General features: G+C 34.7%; 1 protein-coding gene across 28 annotated transcripts in view; it reads right to left on the bottom strand.

Moving 5' to 3' along the window:
- Positions 1–16,428, bottom strand: part of CD36 (CD36 molecule (CD36 blood group)) — a 77,068-nt gene that overhangs the window by 16,820 nt on the left and 43,820 nt on the right. For 19 of the 28 annotated variants that reach the window (XM_024447003.2, NM_001371075.1, NM_001371081.1 and 16 more), the window contains 4 exons: positions 16,274–16,367; positions 15,595–15,803; positions 5,755–5,915; positions 1,245–1,392 (listed from right to left, as the gene is read on the bottom strand). In XM_024447003.2, the coding sequence (XP_024302771.1) occupies positions 1,245–1,392; positions 5,755–5,915; positions 15,595–15,714 (429 nt within the window). In that variant the 5' untranslated portion in view covers positions 15,715–15,803; positions 16,274–16,367. Of the gene's footprint in view, positions 1–1,244; positions 1,393–5,754; positions 5,916–15,594; positions 16,010–16,095; positions 16,207–16,273; positions 16,368–16,428 lie in introns of those variants that run through there. The other 9 variants (NR_110501.1, NM_001371074.1, NM_001289909.1 and 6 more) reach the window with 7 other exon arrangements.

Genomic DNA, 16,428 nt, shown 5'->3' with positions numbered 1-16,428 from the left:
CAATGGTGCGGATGAAATGCTGGCCACAAGCTCCAACAGGTCTCAGTACAGCATCTCCAGGGTGAAGACCCCGGTGTCCCAGGTTGGGGAGGATGAGGAGGACTACGATTTCGACGAGGACAACTGACTTCCTCTCCACTTCAATTTCAGCTTCAGGAAAATGTTTAGGAAAAGAAACTTCTTTTTTTAATGTGGGTTTTCTGTTTCCTTTTGGCCTACTCCCAAGAATATATTGGTAAGCTATTGAATTTAGATATGCACCTCCGATAAGCAAGGATTGTTTCCCATAGAATTAGGATGTGCTGTGGATGTGTGGTTTGATGCCAGTGTGCTAATGCAGAGCCTTCATATACTTTTTAGGATTTTGTGTTTCCGTTTTCTATTTTTCTTAAAATGCAGAGTTCATATTTGCCCCTTAAGAGTTTTTGCTGAGCTTGCTGAAGAAATTGTACTTCATCCACATAAATGCCCGCCTGTTGTGAATGGTGAGCACCAAATGCCCTTTATTTGCCATGAATTTGGACGGCACCCCCTGTTGGCGGATAGCTAGACTCTGCAGAGTTTTGTTTATTCAGTGGTGTGGTCTCTAGAGCCCCAAGCAAATAGCCGAATTCGACTTTCCAAACAATAGACACCATCAACCTTATCGACTTTATTTTCCCTTAAATTATATTGACAGTTGTGATTCCATCAAGTTTATATACTCTTTTTTTCTCCCCATTTTGCAGCAACAAATTGCAAAGTGCTTTTGTTTGTTTGTTTGTTTGTTTTTGTTTGGTTAAAGGTTATTGCCCACTGGTACAGCTACTGGTACACTGTCTGGAAAGCTCGGAATGGTTTATTGCTTATAGTAAAATTTGCCTGATTTCTTACAGGCTGCGTTTGGAAACCTTTTATTATATAGTTGCTTACATACTTAAAAGTCTTTCATTTAAAGACATACTGAAACAAATGTTGTACTTGTTTCTTAAGCATCTTCCTGTAATCTGTTATAAAATTGAAATTAAATATAGAGAATGTTTCGACAAAAAATAATGAAAAAAATAAAGTGGTCTTCTAATGCAGTCGATTCTTATGATTTTGTCACTTTCCAAATGACCATGCCTCCATTCAAAATAATGATATAGGAATACGTTTTGATAAAAATGGAAAAACAAGTAAAACCTAATAATTCTAATGATAGGATTAATTACATGAGTTCTAGAGTATTTTAAAATAGATAACTTTGTTGTTTGTCTACTCACTGCCACAGCCAGATTGAGAACTGTGAAGTTGTCAGCCTCTGTTCCAACTGATAGTGAAGGTTCGAAGATGGCACCATTGGGCTGCAGGAAAGAGACTGTGTTGTCCTCAGCGTCCTGGGTTACATTTTCCTTGGCTAGAAAACGAACTCTAAAGAAATAGCAGTAAACAAAATTCAAAACATTTGTCATATGTGAACATTAGATCTCAAATGTCATTCATTCAACAAATGATTTTTGAACACACAGAATATGCCAGATAGATAGTATGTAAGCAATGGTGTTAAAATGAGAAATCAGCCAGGGTCTCTAGCAAACTAACGAGAAGGGGTCTTAAACTGGCAAACTGGAAATTAAAATAGTGAGAGAGAAGGAATATTGTTATAATGGAGACTCCATGGGAAAACACAAAACAGATCCAGATCCAGATTTAGAATGGTCAGGGTAGGGGTGAGGGTTAAAACACTTTTTAGTACAAGTCTACATAAATGGTCTATGTAACAAATACAAGTTTAGTTAGGTAAAGTACGGCAGATGGTAGCATGCATAAGAACGAACATAATATGTTTTGGGAAATGCAGATATTTGAGTGTGGTTGGATTACAGAGTAAGAGGTGAGGAGAGTAGTGGAAATAAAGTTATTGAAACAAGTAAGATCTCAAACATAAAAGAGTTGCATCTAATACTCAAACGAGACTTTATCCTGAGGATAAGGAGGAAAAAGTACAGGGGCTTCAGCAGGGGAATATTTAGAGCACATTTTCTTATATTAGAAAGAATGATCAAAATACAAGGCCTATCCAGCACTGCTTTTTCCCTTTTTCAGGACTTCTTTAATGAGAATTAGAGATAAGAATATAATTTCCATTTTTAAGGGTTATAGACTAACTTCCCCAGCCCCTCAAGTATATTGAATACTTTTGCTAGTTCTAATCTCCTGACTCTAACATATCTAGGCTGCAAAGTACCAACTACATTTTAGGAACGCGGTGAAGGGTGATTATTACAGGAAAAATACATTTCACAAGTGGAAGATATTCACTGAGAAGAAATAAGATATATATCATAATTGCACTGTCATATTTGAATGCCTGTGAAGTGAGTAGATAGCCAAGGTAAAGACTTAAGCAATTGGACTGAATTTTTTAAAAACCCATTTTATTCCATTATAATAAAAATGTAAATTCCTACAGGGTAGGGGTTTATGAGTGTTTTGTATCTCTAAGCATCATGCCTGGTATATAATGAGTTCTCAGTAAATGTATTTACTAAACAAATGTCTCAGATTCTTTAAAAAGAGGATTCAAAGTTGGCTAGAAATATATTTTTAATATAATTTTATTAAAACTACTATTCTTGAAGTACTGCAGACACACAAAGAATATAAAAATCTGAAACAGCACTCAGGACAATTGTATTTTAAATTAGTGTGCATATTACTAATATTTCAAATCAAAGTACTTCAATTTTCAGAAATATGCCCATATATTAAAACAATAGCAACATAATTGTCACGTTACCTAAAGTGTACTGACAACATTATACCAGTAGATGGCAGTCACTAGAAGAAAAATCCTTAAAACAGCCCTGCCTTTAGAATGTTGTTTTAAAAAGGGAACATAATTACTGAATTTTTTGTTTAAAAGTTAGACTGTATGGAAGTTTTGGAACGTGTTTGTTTATAAGGTCAAGGGAAGGAATTTATGCTTTTCTCAAGATTACTTTTTATATTCTTTCCAAAGCAAAGTAACTCAAAAAATGAATTACAGATCTAAGAATATTCTGAAGGAATTACAGCATCTTCATAGAGATGGTGTAGGTAGAAACACACATAAGATCTCAACCCAAGCAATTTCGTGCTTTGATTCAGGTCATATCTTGTCAAAGTGTAATCAAGCTTACTTTAGCAGACAATGGCCAAATACAGCCTGTGGTTCTGTTTGAGGAGGGACATTCTCACATACTTCCAATGTCAGATGGATTTAGGGTATAATTAGTTATGAAAAAGCATGTTTAGCTCAACACATGCACTATCAAAGTGTTAATTTTTTTTCTAAAAGGTACTGGTTGTTTTTCCATTATTTAAGGCACTCAGGCAAACAATAAAAGACTATTTTGGTGACATGCTGAGACAAGATGACCTACAGATAATCAGGAATCCCTTTAAAATTGTTACAGAAAGAGCTATTTATGGATTCTAAAATTTAGCTGTAAATGCAACTGTTCTTCTCCAGTCTTTGCTCCATTGCCTCTCTAAGCAAACCAAATATATCTAACACATCCCCTTTTTGTCCCTTAGAGAGATAGGTTAAAGGCTTTAAGAATAAAATATAGATCAGCTGTCAACTACCAGAGGAGAACTATTTCAATAATATGTTTTCTCATATCCCAAATAATATATTTAAAAGTGAAAAATATGGTCGGGCATGGTGGGTCACACCTGTAATCCCAACACTTTGCGAGGCCAAGGCACATAGATTGCTTGAGCCCAGGAGTTTGAGGCCAGCATGAGCAACATGGCGAAACCTTGTCTACAAAACAAAACCCATAAAAATTAGCTGGGTATAGTGGCATGCGCCTGTGGTCCCAGCTACTCAGGAGGCTGAGGTGGGAGGATCACTTGAGCCTAGGAGGTTGAGGATGCAGTGAACTGTGATCGTGCCACTGCACTCTAGAGTGGGTGACAGAACAAGACCTTGCCTCAAAAAATAAACAAAATTAAAAACAGAAGTGAAAAATATAACTTCCCCCAAACAAACAAAAAAAATCATGATGAGTTCTCAAATTCTAACAACTATTTTCTTTCCTCACACTTACTCAGTTCACTTAGGTTCTATTTCTTAAACAATTATGCTGATACTCTCCTTAGGTCATATGTGAATTCTAGATTTTCATAAGTATATATACACCTATGAATACATATATATATATGTGTGTATATATATATGGTACACCTAACAACATTCTTTGCAACAAGATACTTGTATAGACTCTTGCTAATAATATAAAAACTTTAAGACCATGAAGAAAATTCTAAGGTAAGATGTTTTTGTACCCATAAAAACTAAGTCTTCATTGACAAAATTATGAATTGTCACAGATGCGCACAGAGACACCCGATTCGGGTAAAACTGCTAAGACAGGACATGCACCAAGGCCCTCTGGGGCTTATATGTCATGTGCTATGGTAGTAGGCACCACCCTCACCATGCCTGTTATTTCATTTTATTTTGGGTGTGAATTTTCAATCTGGAAGCATAGTAATGCTTTGGGGAAGAAGGAAAATTATACAATCATCCGATAACCAAAACAGATAAGATGCTAAAACTACAAATTATAAAAAATCATTAGAAATACAAAACTTTGTGATGAGAACTAATCATGGTGTATAACTAGTTGTGATTATCCATGAGGGAAAATACACATTTAGGTAACAAATTCTATAGCAGAACATAACTATGTTTCCATATGGATACCATAAATATATTCCTAATCCTTGGTTAAGGTAGTGTTTTTGGCACCTCAATCTCCCCCTTTTTTCCCTTTTTAGTGAAAAAGACAGAGTGTCTATAATTGAAATGGAAGAAAAGGTATACAAAAATCTAGGAGCTACCAGTACCTACATCTGTGTGAACATGGACAAGTGACCTCACATCCACTGGATCAGGCATTTTTAACTCACAAAATGACAGATTCTGGCTGATCATTTCCTCTAGTTCTAATACTCTAAGATTCTGTTCAAAAGTGTGTTAAACTATCAGGGAAGGCAGAGGAAAGATATAAAATATTGTCTCAACACTAGAGGAAATATAAGAGTGAAACTAAAATAGATCAATGTAAACATCTATATGACCCAGAAGTTAATTTGAATATAAATCTTGAGTAGGTACCGCAGTTAGGAAAAATGAATTTAGCACGGTGGTTCTCAAAATTGTGTATTCAAATCACCCAGGATTTGTAAAACTCTTTAGTGGGCCTCAACTCTTTCATTCATTTGGTCTGGGATGGGGTGGAGGGATTTGCATGTTTCCCAATTCCCTGTTAATGCTGATGCAGCTGGCCCAGCACTTTGCTGTGGCCCAGCTACACTTTGAGAACCACTGTTAAAATATGCTTTAAATTTTAAGATGTGAAAACTGATTTTTTTTTCCTCAGCAGGAATATTTCAGAGTTGTTGAGAATATATGCCACAATAACAAAACACTAACTTCATAAACATAGGGAAGTTATTTGATACTGGTAAGTTTATAATAAAATCTGTTTATCTTTTCTATATATTGTCTAATAAATATTTGGATAATGTATATATCTTCCACTTTTTTCAAAATAAATACCTTATAATCATTAAATTCTTAGATTAGGATTCTATACAGACAGGAAAAATATTTTAAAGTATATTTTTGGCAAGAAAATAATAAGTACATTTCAATACAATGACATTTGCCAAGTAGAAGACTTCTCAGAAATACATGGTCAAGGTAAGAGTGTCTCATATTTGTGGGGACTCACTCACCTGTACGTATAAGGACCTCTTTGCTTAACTTGAATGTTGCTGCTGTTCATCATCACTTCCTGTGGATTTTGCACATCAAAGATCCAAAACTGTCTGTAAACTTCTGTGCCTGTTTTAACCCAATTTTTAAAAGCAATTGTACCTTCTTCGAGGACAACTTGCTATGAAAAAGAAAATAAGTTTGGGTTATGTCTTTGTAGTAAGTACAGGCACTTCTGGAAGATTGTTTGCAGCCTTGAGTCAGCCAGAATAAAAGGACCAAGCCCAAGTACCTCATTCATGAGAACCTTTGCAACCTTACCATACACTTGCAGCAGAAATGTTTTCAACAAATTATTATTACAGCAGTCTTTTTAGCCTTTTACAAAGAGAATCAGTGTGTAATACTGAAGACACGACTGTTGATTTTAAGGCAAACTTTAAAGTGACCCTTCGGCAAGCTTTAGAGTGACGCTTTGAAAATATTGCAACAGTCAACATAATTTATTAAGCAAATTTTACCGAAGTTCAAAAAAGTTCTTACTGAGTTGAACTTCTTCTCTGCCCCTAAGTTGGACTGATGAAACAAAACACAAAAACTGAGTGAAAAATCTAATGGTATTGGAAGCTTTTTCTTTTCCTTCAAGAGTTGGACACTTCAGAGGATGGTACTTAACACTCACTACATTAAGAAAATAAAAATATCTACATGAAGAACACAAATTTGACACCGTGTCTTCAAAATCCTGCTCAATCTGGCTTCCCTAACCTTTTTCTTTTTCTTTTCTTTTTTTTTTTTTTGAGACAAGATATTGCTCTGTCACCCAGGCTGGAGTACAGTGGTACAATCTTGGCTCCTTGCAGCCTTGACCTCCCAGGCTCAAGTGATCCTCTCACCTGTGCCACCATGCCCACCTAGTTTTTGTAGTTTTAGTAGAAACAGGATTTCACCATATTGGTCAGGCTGACCTTGAACTCCTGAGCTGAAGCAATCCACCTGACCTGGACTCCCAAAAGGCTGGAATTACAGGTGTGAGCCACTGCACACAGCCCCTAACTTTCAATATATTTGCAACAACCCATTATCATGTTTCCAAAAATTACAACAGCCTCACTCATCATTATTGGGTTGTAGTTTTTAAAGAAAAAAACAGGACAAGGAAGCTGTCCTATTACTCCTTTGTGAAATCCACTAAAAATCACTGATGCTCCTTTGGTAAAGATAGACAAGTGGAAAATACACCAATAAGAGAATTAAAAATCCTACATTAGGAACTCGATTCCTTGCTTTAGGAGCTTTGGGACTGGGTGGAGAGTCATCAAACCTCCCTAGGGTCAACTTCATTAGCTGTAAAATAAGGGAGTTAACATAAATATTCTTCTAGTTTTCTTCCACAGCTTTCACTCTCTGAGCCAGAAGTCTATTACGCTGTAGTAGATAGTGCAAACAAAGGTGATTTTGAAGCAGGCGGTATTTCTAATGAAGTATTGGGAAGAATGCCCAGGTTAAAGAGCTCCAACTTAACCTGAGTGTGCTACAGGAAGAGGAATACAACTATTTCATGGAAAATGAGCCTAAAGAGAACAATGACCACAGGAACATTCTGACCTATTTGTTTCCTTGACCTGGAAGCACCACTTCACAGAATGACAGATTAGGAAAGGACATTGAACATGATCACATTTTCCAGTGGATCACACTGAGGCTCTGAGAAACCAGGTGGCTGGCCCAAGGACAGCCTAGGCAAACAGTAGTGAATTCATGACAAAAATCCTCATCCATGACCCTTAGACTAGTCCTCCTTTACACCATGCTATGACTGTCTTTTTTTTTTTTTTTTCCGTCACCCTCTGCACTTAGTTGGTAGAAGTCAAATTAAGTTTCATATCTTCATGATATTTTACTTATTGCTTAATGTAGGGAATAAGCGAATTCCTTAGAGAAGAACTGGGCACCAAGTTAAAATGGAATTTCAAAATCCTACGCTGCTGTAATCCACTTATACGGGGTACATTGGACCTGCTAGAGTGATGGAATCTTTATTACTTTTTACAACAAATTGTCCTTGAAAAACTTTTTATTTGCTCCCAAAAAGGCTTATTTCCATACTAAGTCTAATATTAAGACAAAATTGCTTAAAGCATTATGGATATTCTTCTAAATGTAAATATGTTTGGTGAGGATGTTGAAGCTCAAAGCTAAATAGAAGCTGAAAACGGTTGATTTCTCCATTTCAAGAGACTTAACAAGGGAGAACACACAAACACAAACATTATTCTCCTCACACTATTAGAATCTTAATGCTCAAAAACAATACCTGTTATTCATCAAGTGCCTCTCAAGGTACATATTAGGTTTGTACACAAGTAATTACGGTTTTTGCGATTTTAATGACAAAAATCACAATTACTTTTGTACCGACCTAATATCTCTTAATGAAAGAAACTCAACAAACTCTTATAGAATTGAAGAGAGTCTGTGACAGAATGTGCTTGACAGGATTGAATGCCTTCCTAACTCTACAATGAGTGTCCATCTAAACACCAAAAGACATTGTACGTGTATGAGACCTTTTTTTCTAAAGGCCACAAATCACTTTTCCCTTAAAAAATATCTCTAGCGACAAATAAGGCAAACGTGAAACACAGGGTTGAAATGAATGTGTTGAATTATCAACTGTTAGAATCAGGACTATCTAACCCCGTCCATTTTTTTAGAGGTGGAAAATGGGTTCTAGAGAAAAGAGATGTCTGACTCAATGTTATGTGACAAATTTACTAGCAGATAATAGAAAAATCAGGTCCTTTCACTTCAATTTTATATAGTTTCCATAGCATCATGATTTGTTTAGAGACATAGAGAAAAATATTGAAGTAGTCGAAGTAGTAATAATATGCTTCTGACGCTACCACTACTATATGTATTAAATTGTAGTCACTCCTTGAATACCAAGACTAAATATGTCACAAGAAACAAAAGATGTTATGTCCTTTGTGAATTTAAAAGAACTTGATTTTAAATTGAATTTGGACTGTCTAGACTATTTTGCAAATATTTTACTAAATTTGAAGTACAAAGCTGGTAAGTATGTACACAGAAAAAGTGATATAAGATTTTCTCACTTGGCTAATGTGTATGTGTGTATTTGTCCCTGACTCTAAGCATGCAGACTACCAAGCCCCAACAACAACTGGATTTCAACCTGGTGACTCTCACATAGCATGTTCTATAGCTGGGTTGAAAGCACTGACCTTGAAACTTCTATTCTGCTACATTAATTTGAAAACAGATGCTTGTTGGGACCTTAATATCCTATATGTAGTCATGCACTCACTTGAATACTGTTTTCATGCAACAGCAATAATCATCTACATAACTGACAACTTTCATTATTAAAATGCCCTTCATACTTTGCTACGCATGGAGTAGAGTACAAATGTAGAAAATATTTTGTTTCACTTTTCAAGGACTTTACACATTTCTACCAAGAGACAGAAGTATGTTTAGCAGATTTTAATCTACGAGTTAGATTTTTTTACCCTATCCCCACCCTAACAAGGTATAGTGGCTTCTTCCCTAAAGCATAGACTGAAGTGGCCAACAATGAAATTAGATGCTATGAGTTTGATCACTTAATAATAATCATCATCATTGAAGTTTGAGCAGATTATTTAATTTCTTTGTACCTCACTTTCCTTATCTGTGAAATTATAACAGTAATGTTAGATTGAACCATATAGACTTAGTATTTTTGAAAATCAAAAAAAGTTGAATTTTGGCATTTTCATGTGGCTTAAATATTTATCCTCATAGGTTGTTATGGGGATCAATAAACGTGAACACTTAGAACAGTGTTAGTACAAACCAGACATTCAATAAATGTCAGCTATTAGTATTTTACAAATTCTATCCATCCTTTAGAGGAAGAACTCTAATACCATTTACTTCTCCATTCTGCTTTAATTGCTTGGTTCATAGCATTTACTGTCTAAGCCAGTCATGTGCCAATAACTTATATAATATCCTGTGACAATTATTTTTCTGTTATTTAATCATTTTAATATTTCTCTTTCTAGTAAAGTAAAAACTTTCTTAAAAACCAGAAGCATACTTCCATCCTTCCCACTAGCTGCTACCATTTGCTTGTAATTGGGCCTAAAACGAATCATTTCCCCATGTTAAAAGAAATTCTAATGTTTTTGCATTATGCAAGTGTGTGTAAGTTGAGAATGAATTAGAATTGTAGTGACAGTTATGCAGAGAATCTGAAAATGGCTTTAGTTTCAGAACATCATCATCAACTAAAACCCAGAATAAAATTAGGTGAAATGTATTGGAGTAGTAAGCTTTAATATGTTTCTGAAACCTAGAAATTAGCCTCCAAGAATTTATGTAAGTACCTAAAATGGTATGAAAAGTAAACTATGTTGTGTTTGGCATGAAAAGTAAACTATGTTGATATTAAATTGGACTAGTAGAAGAAACATATATGCTTGTCTATTTCTTGAAACATTGTCTTTAAGTGACATTTGTTATTACAGCTATATGCACATATACATAGTGTTTAATTCGTTTTTATACTGCTATTTTAATTTAAATATTTTGGGTTGTTCTTACGTTATTAAATATAAAACAAACTTTACCATCTTTAATATTTTTAGTCATTTATTTTTGAGCTTTTAGATACTATGAAAAAGTACAAATTATTTTATTATATCTGGAAATACTAGAAGCATACATTATAAAGGTAATATAAACAAATTATATGTTTAAAATATGGACTATTAATTCAAACATAATTTTTTGCGGGGGGAGACAGGGTCTCACTTTGTCACCCAGGCTGAAGTACAGAGGCGCGACCTTAGCTCACTGCAGCCTCAACCTCCTGGGCTCAAGGGATCCTCCCACTTCAGCCCCACAAAAGCTAGGACTACAGGCATGTGTAACCATATCCAGCTAATTTTTTTGTATTATTCGTAGAGATGGGGTTTTGCCATGTTGCCCAGGCTGGTCTCAAACTCCTGAGCTCAAGTGATCCACCCGTCTCAGCCTCCCGAAGTACTAGGATTATAGGCATGAGCCACCATGCCCAGCCATGTATAACCATTTTAATGAATCATGATTTCAATTTATTTTGTCTGAAGGCATTTCTTACAAGCTACAGAAGGATCATTGTTTTCAAGAATGGGAGAAGGAAAAATGGTATAATTGAATGATGATATTTAATATTAGTTCTCTAACAGGAACAAAGAAACCTATAATTCCTTTTTTGGTGTTCTATAGTTAGAACTATAGAACTTATTTAAATTTTATTTTTTTCTTCCAACTTTTATTTTAGGGTCAGAGGTACATGTGCAAGTTTGTTATATAGGTAAATTGTGTGTCATGGAGGTTTGGTGTACGGATTATTTCTTCACGCAGGTAATAAGCATAGTACCTGATAGGTAGTTTTTTGATCCTCCGCTCTCCTCCCCCTTCCCACCCTCGATTAGCCCCAGGTGTCTATTGTTCCCTTCTTTATATCCACGTGTATTCAATATTTAGCTCCTACTTACAAGTGAGAACATGTGGTATCTGGTTTTCTGTTCCTGCATTAATCTGCTTAGCATACAACTACCTATGTTATGTTATACAATATTCACTAAACTTTTTATCAACTGACATTAATAATGTCAAGTGATAAATTATCTTTTGTAAATGGTGGTAGAATTTTGACCCTTTTCCACAGTGCTTTGGTAGTTTCTACTTTCATGGCAGCTCTTGCTATTGATTTTTAGTTTTTTTTTTTTTTTTGAAAGACTGCATAAACTTGCTGGCTGCACACAACTCTATTAAGAATCACGGTCAAAAATACTGGTAAGAAAGATTGCAGCTATAATCCATAAAAAGCATGAGGATACCAGAGACATCCCTTGAAAATAAAGAGCAAAAATAAAGTACAAATAAGCTTGCTAAACTGTTTTAGACTACTTCAAATGGTAATGACATCTTTCAGAATTGGAAGGTATCACAGCACTGCAACTCTACACTAAATATGAAATGATTTTCTCATCATTCTCAATTAAGAAGTTTAATTATTTTTTTCCAAATATCACTTGTATACAATAGCTTTCTTAATTTGCTATTAGTCAGCTAAACAAAGTAATATTAAATGAGTTTTAATGGTACACAAATAAGAAGTCAACAGTACCAAAACCCATATGTTTGTGAAATAGCATTACTCTAAGTATTTCTGAGGCAGCAGTAAGACACTTGGCTCTCTAGGTTTACACAAAATTCAAATATTTGACTCCTACTCTATGCCAAAGATATACATACGCCAATATCATTTAAAAAATAGTCTGTAAACTGAAGAAAAAAGAAACAGTCTATTCAAACAATATTCCACCTACTTCATATGACTAAATTAACAAGGTCAACATGGTTGTGTAGGAATCTGAGAGCAAAAAGAAGCTTAGCCTTAAATGTACCATACATCTTGACCAATATAAGGATTCTGATGATGAGTCTTAGTCTATGGACATGTAGGGGGCTTACAATGTGCACTGTCATTTGACAGTTTTTATGAGTCTCTGTTGTACCACCTCCTTGAGTTTGAATCTACACTAGGAAGTCTGAATCTTCTCTTTTCCTTGTAAAAGATTGCACGGATAATTCTTATTTCAAAAACAAGAAGGAAAAGCACTCCATTGATTTAATTCCCCCTTCTTTATTACCCTACTCAAAGTATACTTTCAAAATTATTGGTGACCATGTTCTAATCATTATTTTCTTAATTTTCATCTGCCTGAGAACATTTTATGCTTTCTTTCCTTGAGTTCTGGCCTCCTATTAACTTCTAGGATTGTACTCTTTGTTTGTTTCTTCATATAAGATCATTCTTTTCCTTTTCTACTTTTGTCTTCCTGCCTCTGAATTATTACAAATTCTGTAATAATTCTTCTGCTTTTTCCTCTCTCCATTAAAACTCTCTAAAAGTAAATCTACTGTTTAGTTTTATTTTTAATCTTTATAGCAATGATCAAATCTATTTGAACTCTGACCTTTGAAACACAGACTGATGTTCATAAAACATCACTTATAAAACCTCTGTTTTACTTTGTAAGGTATATACATACCTTCTATCAATAACTCACTGGACATCTTGAGTTTGATGCTTTTACTCCTCTAATTTAATCTGTCTCTCCAAGCTTCCATTTCATCCTATTATCTATCAGTTTTTTTTTTCTATATACTCAACCATGCCAGACCAGTGTGCCTTTTGTTATATAATGTGCAGATTATGCAAATATCTTTCTAAAAGGGAATCTTATATTCTCCTTGAAAGTGGTCATATCCTACAGTTTTTTGTTTGTTTGTTTTCCTATCTCTGGTATCCTCACTTTGCAACCTTTCTGCTGTAGAGTAGTATACAAGGCCAGGTTTTTCATCTAGGCTCTTCCTACAGATTGCTTACATTTGGAGAATGACTTCTTTCCCTATTGGCTAGGTGAGTTGGCAAGTTGATTTAAGGACTTGCGCCTGTAAGATGAGTAAAATAACAGCAACTTCTCACAGATATTTTTGAAGATTAAGTGAACTAGTATATAGGAAACTCTTAGTAAGAATTAAATGTTAGCCATCTAATCTCTAAATTCAGGTTTTATCATATCTTACACTTGCTGAAAAACATACCGACGACTATTGTGTATTGTATCATCAATTAAGTATTTTTCTGCCTGATGTTCTAAGCTTGCTTCCTAACTCTAACCCCATGTTAACTTCTAATCTTTTCTGCTGTTAATCCAGTATTATGGGCACATTCTCTACCTTCTTCCTTCCATCTTCACTGCATTTGGTAGCATTTTCACAGGGTTTTTCATACTATCAATCAGTCCTTTAATATGGTTACTGCAGTTATTTGAGACTTTCAAAATTCTACACTTCTTTAAAATCTGAATCAAGTCCTACCTTTTTCCTGAAGTTTCTTGAATACTCTGAGAGATTTCTCTTTCAAAGTATTACAGCATTTACTTTTCCAATTCAATTCTAGAGTCTCATAGGTCTCGGTATTTTTTATTATAATATATCTTCCCCTGGTTATAGCTTACAATAGATGAGATTATATTATTCTCTTAGTCATTATACAAAAGCACATTTTGATGTCAGAAAACTTACTTTCTCATGGTTAACTATTATAAGCATAAAGATAAATATTAAAGAATTAAAATAAATGCTAGCACCTCACATGCTATTCAAAAGAATCTACATGTACCAGTTTTGTTGCATGACAAAGAAAAAAATTAAATCATCAATACTCAGTTATTGACCAATAATTATGTGTCAGCAAAAAAAAGTAGTCTAAATCGCTGTGCATTGGAAGATTATTGTGATTTTTGAATTTGGAAAACTTTTCCAAATGATGTTGTAGTCTGTACGTTAACACAGACACTGATCTTGTACTTTCTCTGCATAAGATCTGGGTGAGAACATAGTTTATGAGTAGGAAGGATGTCAGATCAATGGCCACTCCATCCCACTATTAGATAAGCCCCACACCTCACTATTACCTGTCTGTTTCCATTGGCCTGTATTAAAAATACTATCAAGAAAACTAAGAATTCCAAGGCAGGGGATACTAATTTACATATGTTTTTTCAGTTAAATGCATGAGGCTGAAGTTCTGCAATATGTTAGCAATAAACACAATACAGTCAGCCCTCTGTATTCATGGGTTCCACATCTGCAGATTCAACCAACTGTGGATCAAAAATATTAAAAATACTAACAATATAGCAATAAAAATTTAATAAAAATTCAATTCCTCCTGTTCTCCATCGTGCACTATGCTTACTAACCCTTTGTCTAGGTCATTGCCATCCTAACCAGGTAGAGAGTTGAAGGCAGAACTCGTTTTATTTGGCCAGTATTATGTTTAATAAAATGAACATTTATGCCTTCAGGCAGTAAACACACAGTCTAGTTCACAGCAGTTCCTGTTCTTCATTTTATCTTGTTCTTGGCACCTTAAATTTTGTTTAACCCCTGTATCCAAACTCCTGCAGCCATTTGAATTTGCCATCCCTGATTTAGAACTTCAGCAGAACTGCTTCCCTTTATTCTCTTCTTCCCCCTATCAATCAACGTTTCTGATGAGTGAGTGTGTAGCTAATTCGAATAAGCTAGGGTGGGAGATGAATTCTAGGTTGTTGTGCAAAGCCCATCTATTCAATCATTCTGTTTTTTCACACTACAGTCAATTTGTTTTATACTAAGACATGTTCTGCATATTTCTGAAAGTATTTTCTAAGATTCCAATATGAAGCTTCACAAATAGAAAATATTTATGAGATGAGATTATTACACATATATAAAAATAGTGGATTACTAAACAGTGTATTACCAAACAAGTTTACCTACAATTTAATAAGGATTTATGTTTCAATATTAAACACATTACACACACACACACACACACACACAGTTTTACTTTTCTCAGTATTAACTAAAGTGCAACTTCTTTTATAAATGTGCTTTTACAAAATATACTCACTTATTTCCTACTCAAAAGCATGCCAACATGCTCTTTGGACATAACTTAAAACAATTATTTCTACTAACATGCATACCTGTAGACAGCTTTTAATAGAATTTGGTATTTATATTTAAGACAGCAATGGAGTCATGTTAAATATACATTATACTTATAACATTTCACATAAAGTCGCATCATATAGAGTTGCAGTGGTTCATAATTACCTTTATGTCAAAGATACAAAATTAGCAGTTACCATGAAATATAAAGCAGGTAAATACAAAGCAAAAAAAGAGAAGTTAGAATCAATCAAAATGAGAAGGCATATTCTTTGGACTACTTGTACCTTTTTAATTGTCTTCTGGATAAGCAGGTCTCCAACTGGCATTAGAATACCTCCAAACACAGCCAGGACAGCACCAATGACAGCCCCAGCGATGAGCCCACAGTTCCGGTCACAGCCCATTTTTCTTGTTCAGGAGGTGAATTAGTGTTAAGCACCTGTTTCTTGCAAACTCCTGGATATGATTAAAGTGGTTTCTACAAGCTCTGGTTCTATCATTAGAAAGAGATCATAAAACAGAAGCTTAAATATCAGTACAAAAAGATCAAAGTACAAAGAAAACACCCACTGAAACGTATCATTTTGCCCGTTCTAAATAAACAAATGCTTTTCTTTTTGTTTCACCAAAGTGGCTTCCTCGGTCCGTCTCCCTTTTCTTGCTTCTAATGCCTACCAGTGGCAGAACTAATAATGTCATATCTGAATTTCTTCATATTCCTCCTTTTTAATTTTCTTTCTACACATGATTAACATATTGAAATCTTATCTAAGGAGAACTCTCACCCTCATCTCTCTTCCCTTGTCTCAGCAACTTAGTTGCATCCTCACTATCTGGTTTCTCCACCCAACACAACCTTCCACACCCCTTCTGGAGCTCTCCTGCGAACAGAATGTGGGTTGACTGATGTGTTTTCCATTAAATGATAAGCAAGTATGGTAACAGATGTTTTATTTACGATACCTTATTCACAAATCAACAGCAAGACATGAATTTTACAGGAAATGAACTGATGAGTCACAGAAAGAATCAATTCGTCTAATCATTGGAAAGCTATCTGTGAAAATAAGAAAAGCATGGGTAAATAGAAAAAAATTCTCAGAAATTTTATACTGGGA

Source organism: Homo sapiens, chromosome 7, assembly GCF_000001405.40.
Source record: "Homo sapiens chromosome 7, GRCh38.p14 Primary Assembly".
Taxonomy (NCBI): Eukaryota; Metazoa; Chordata; class Mammalia; order Primates; family Hominidae; genus Homo; species Homo sapiens.
This window is presented reverse-complemented; position numbering and strand designations above follow the sequence as displayed.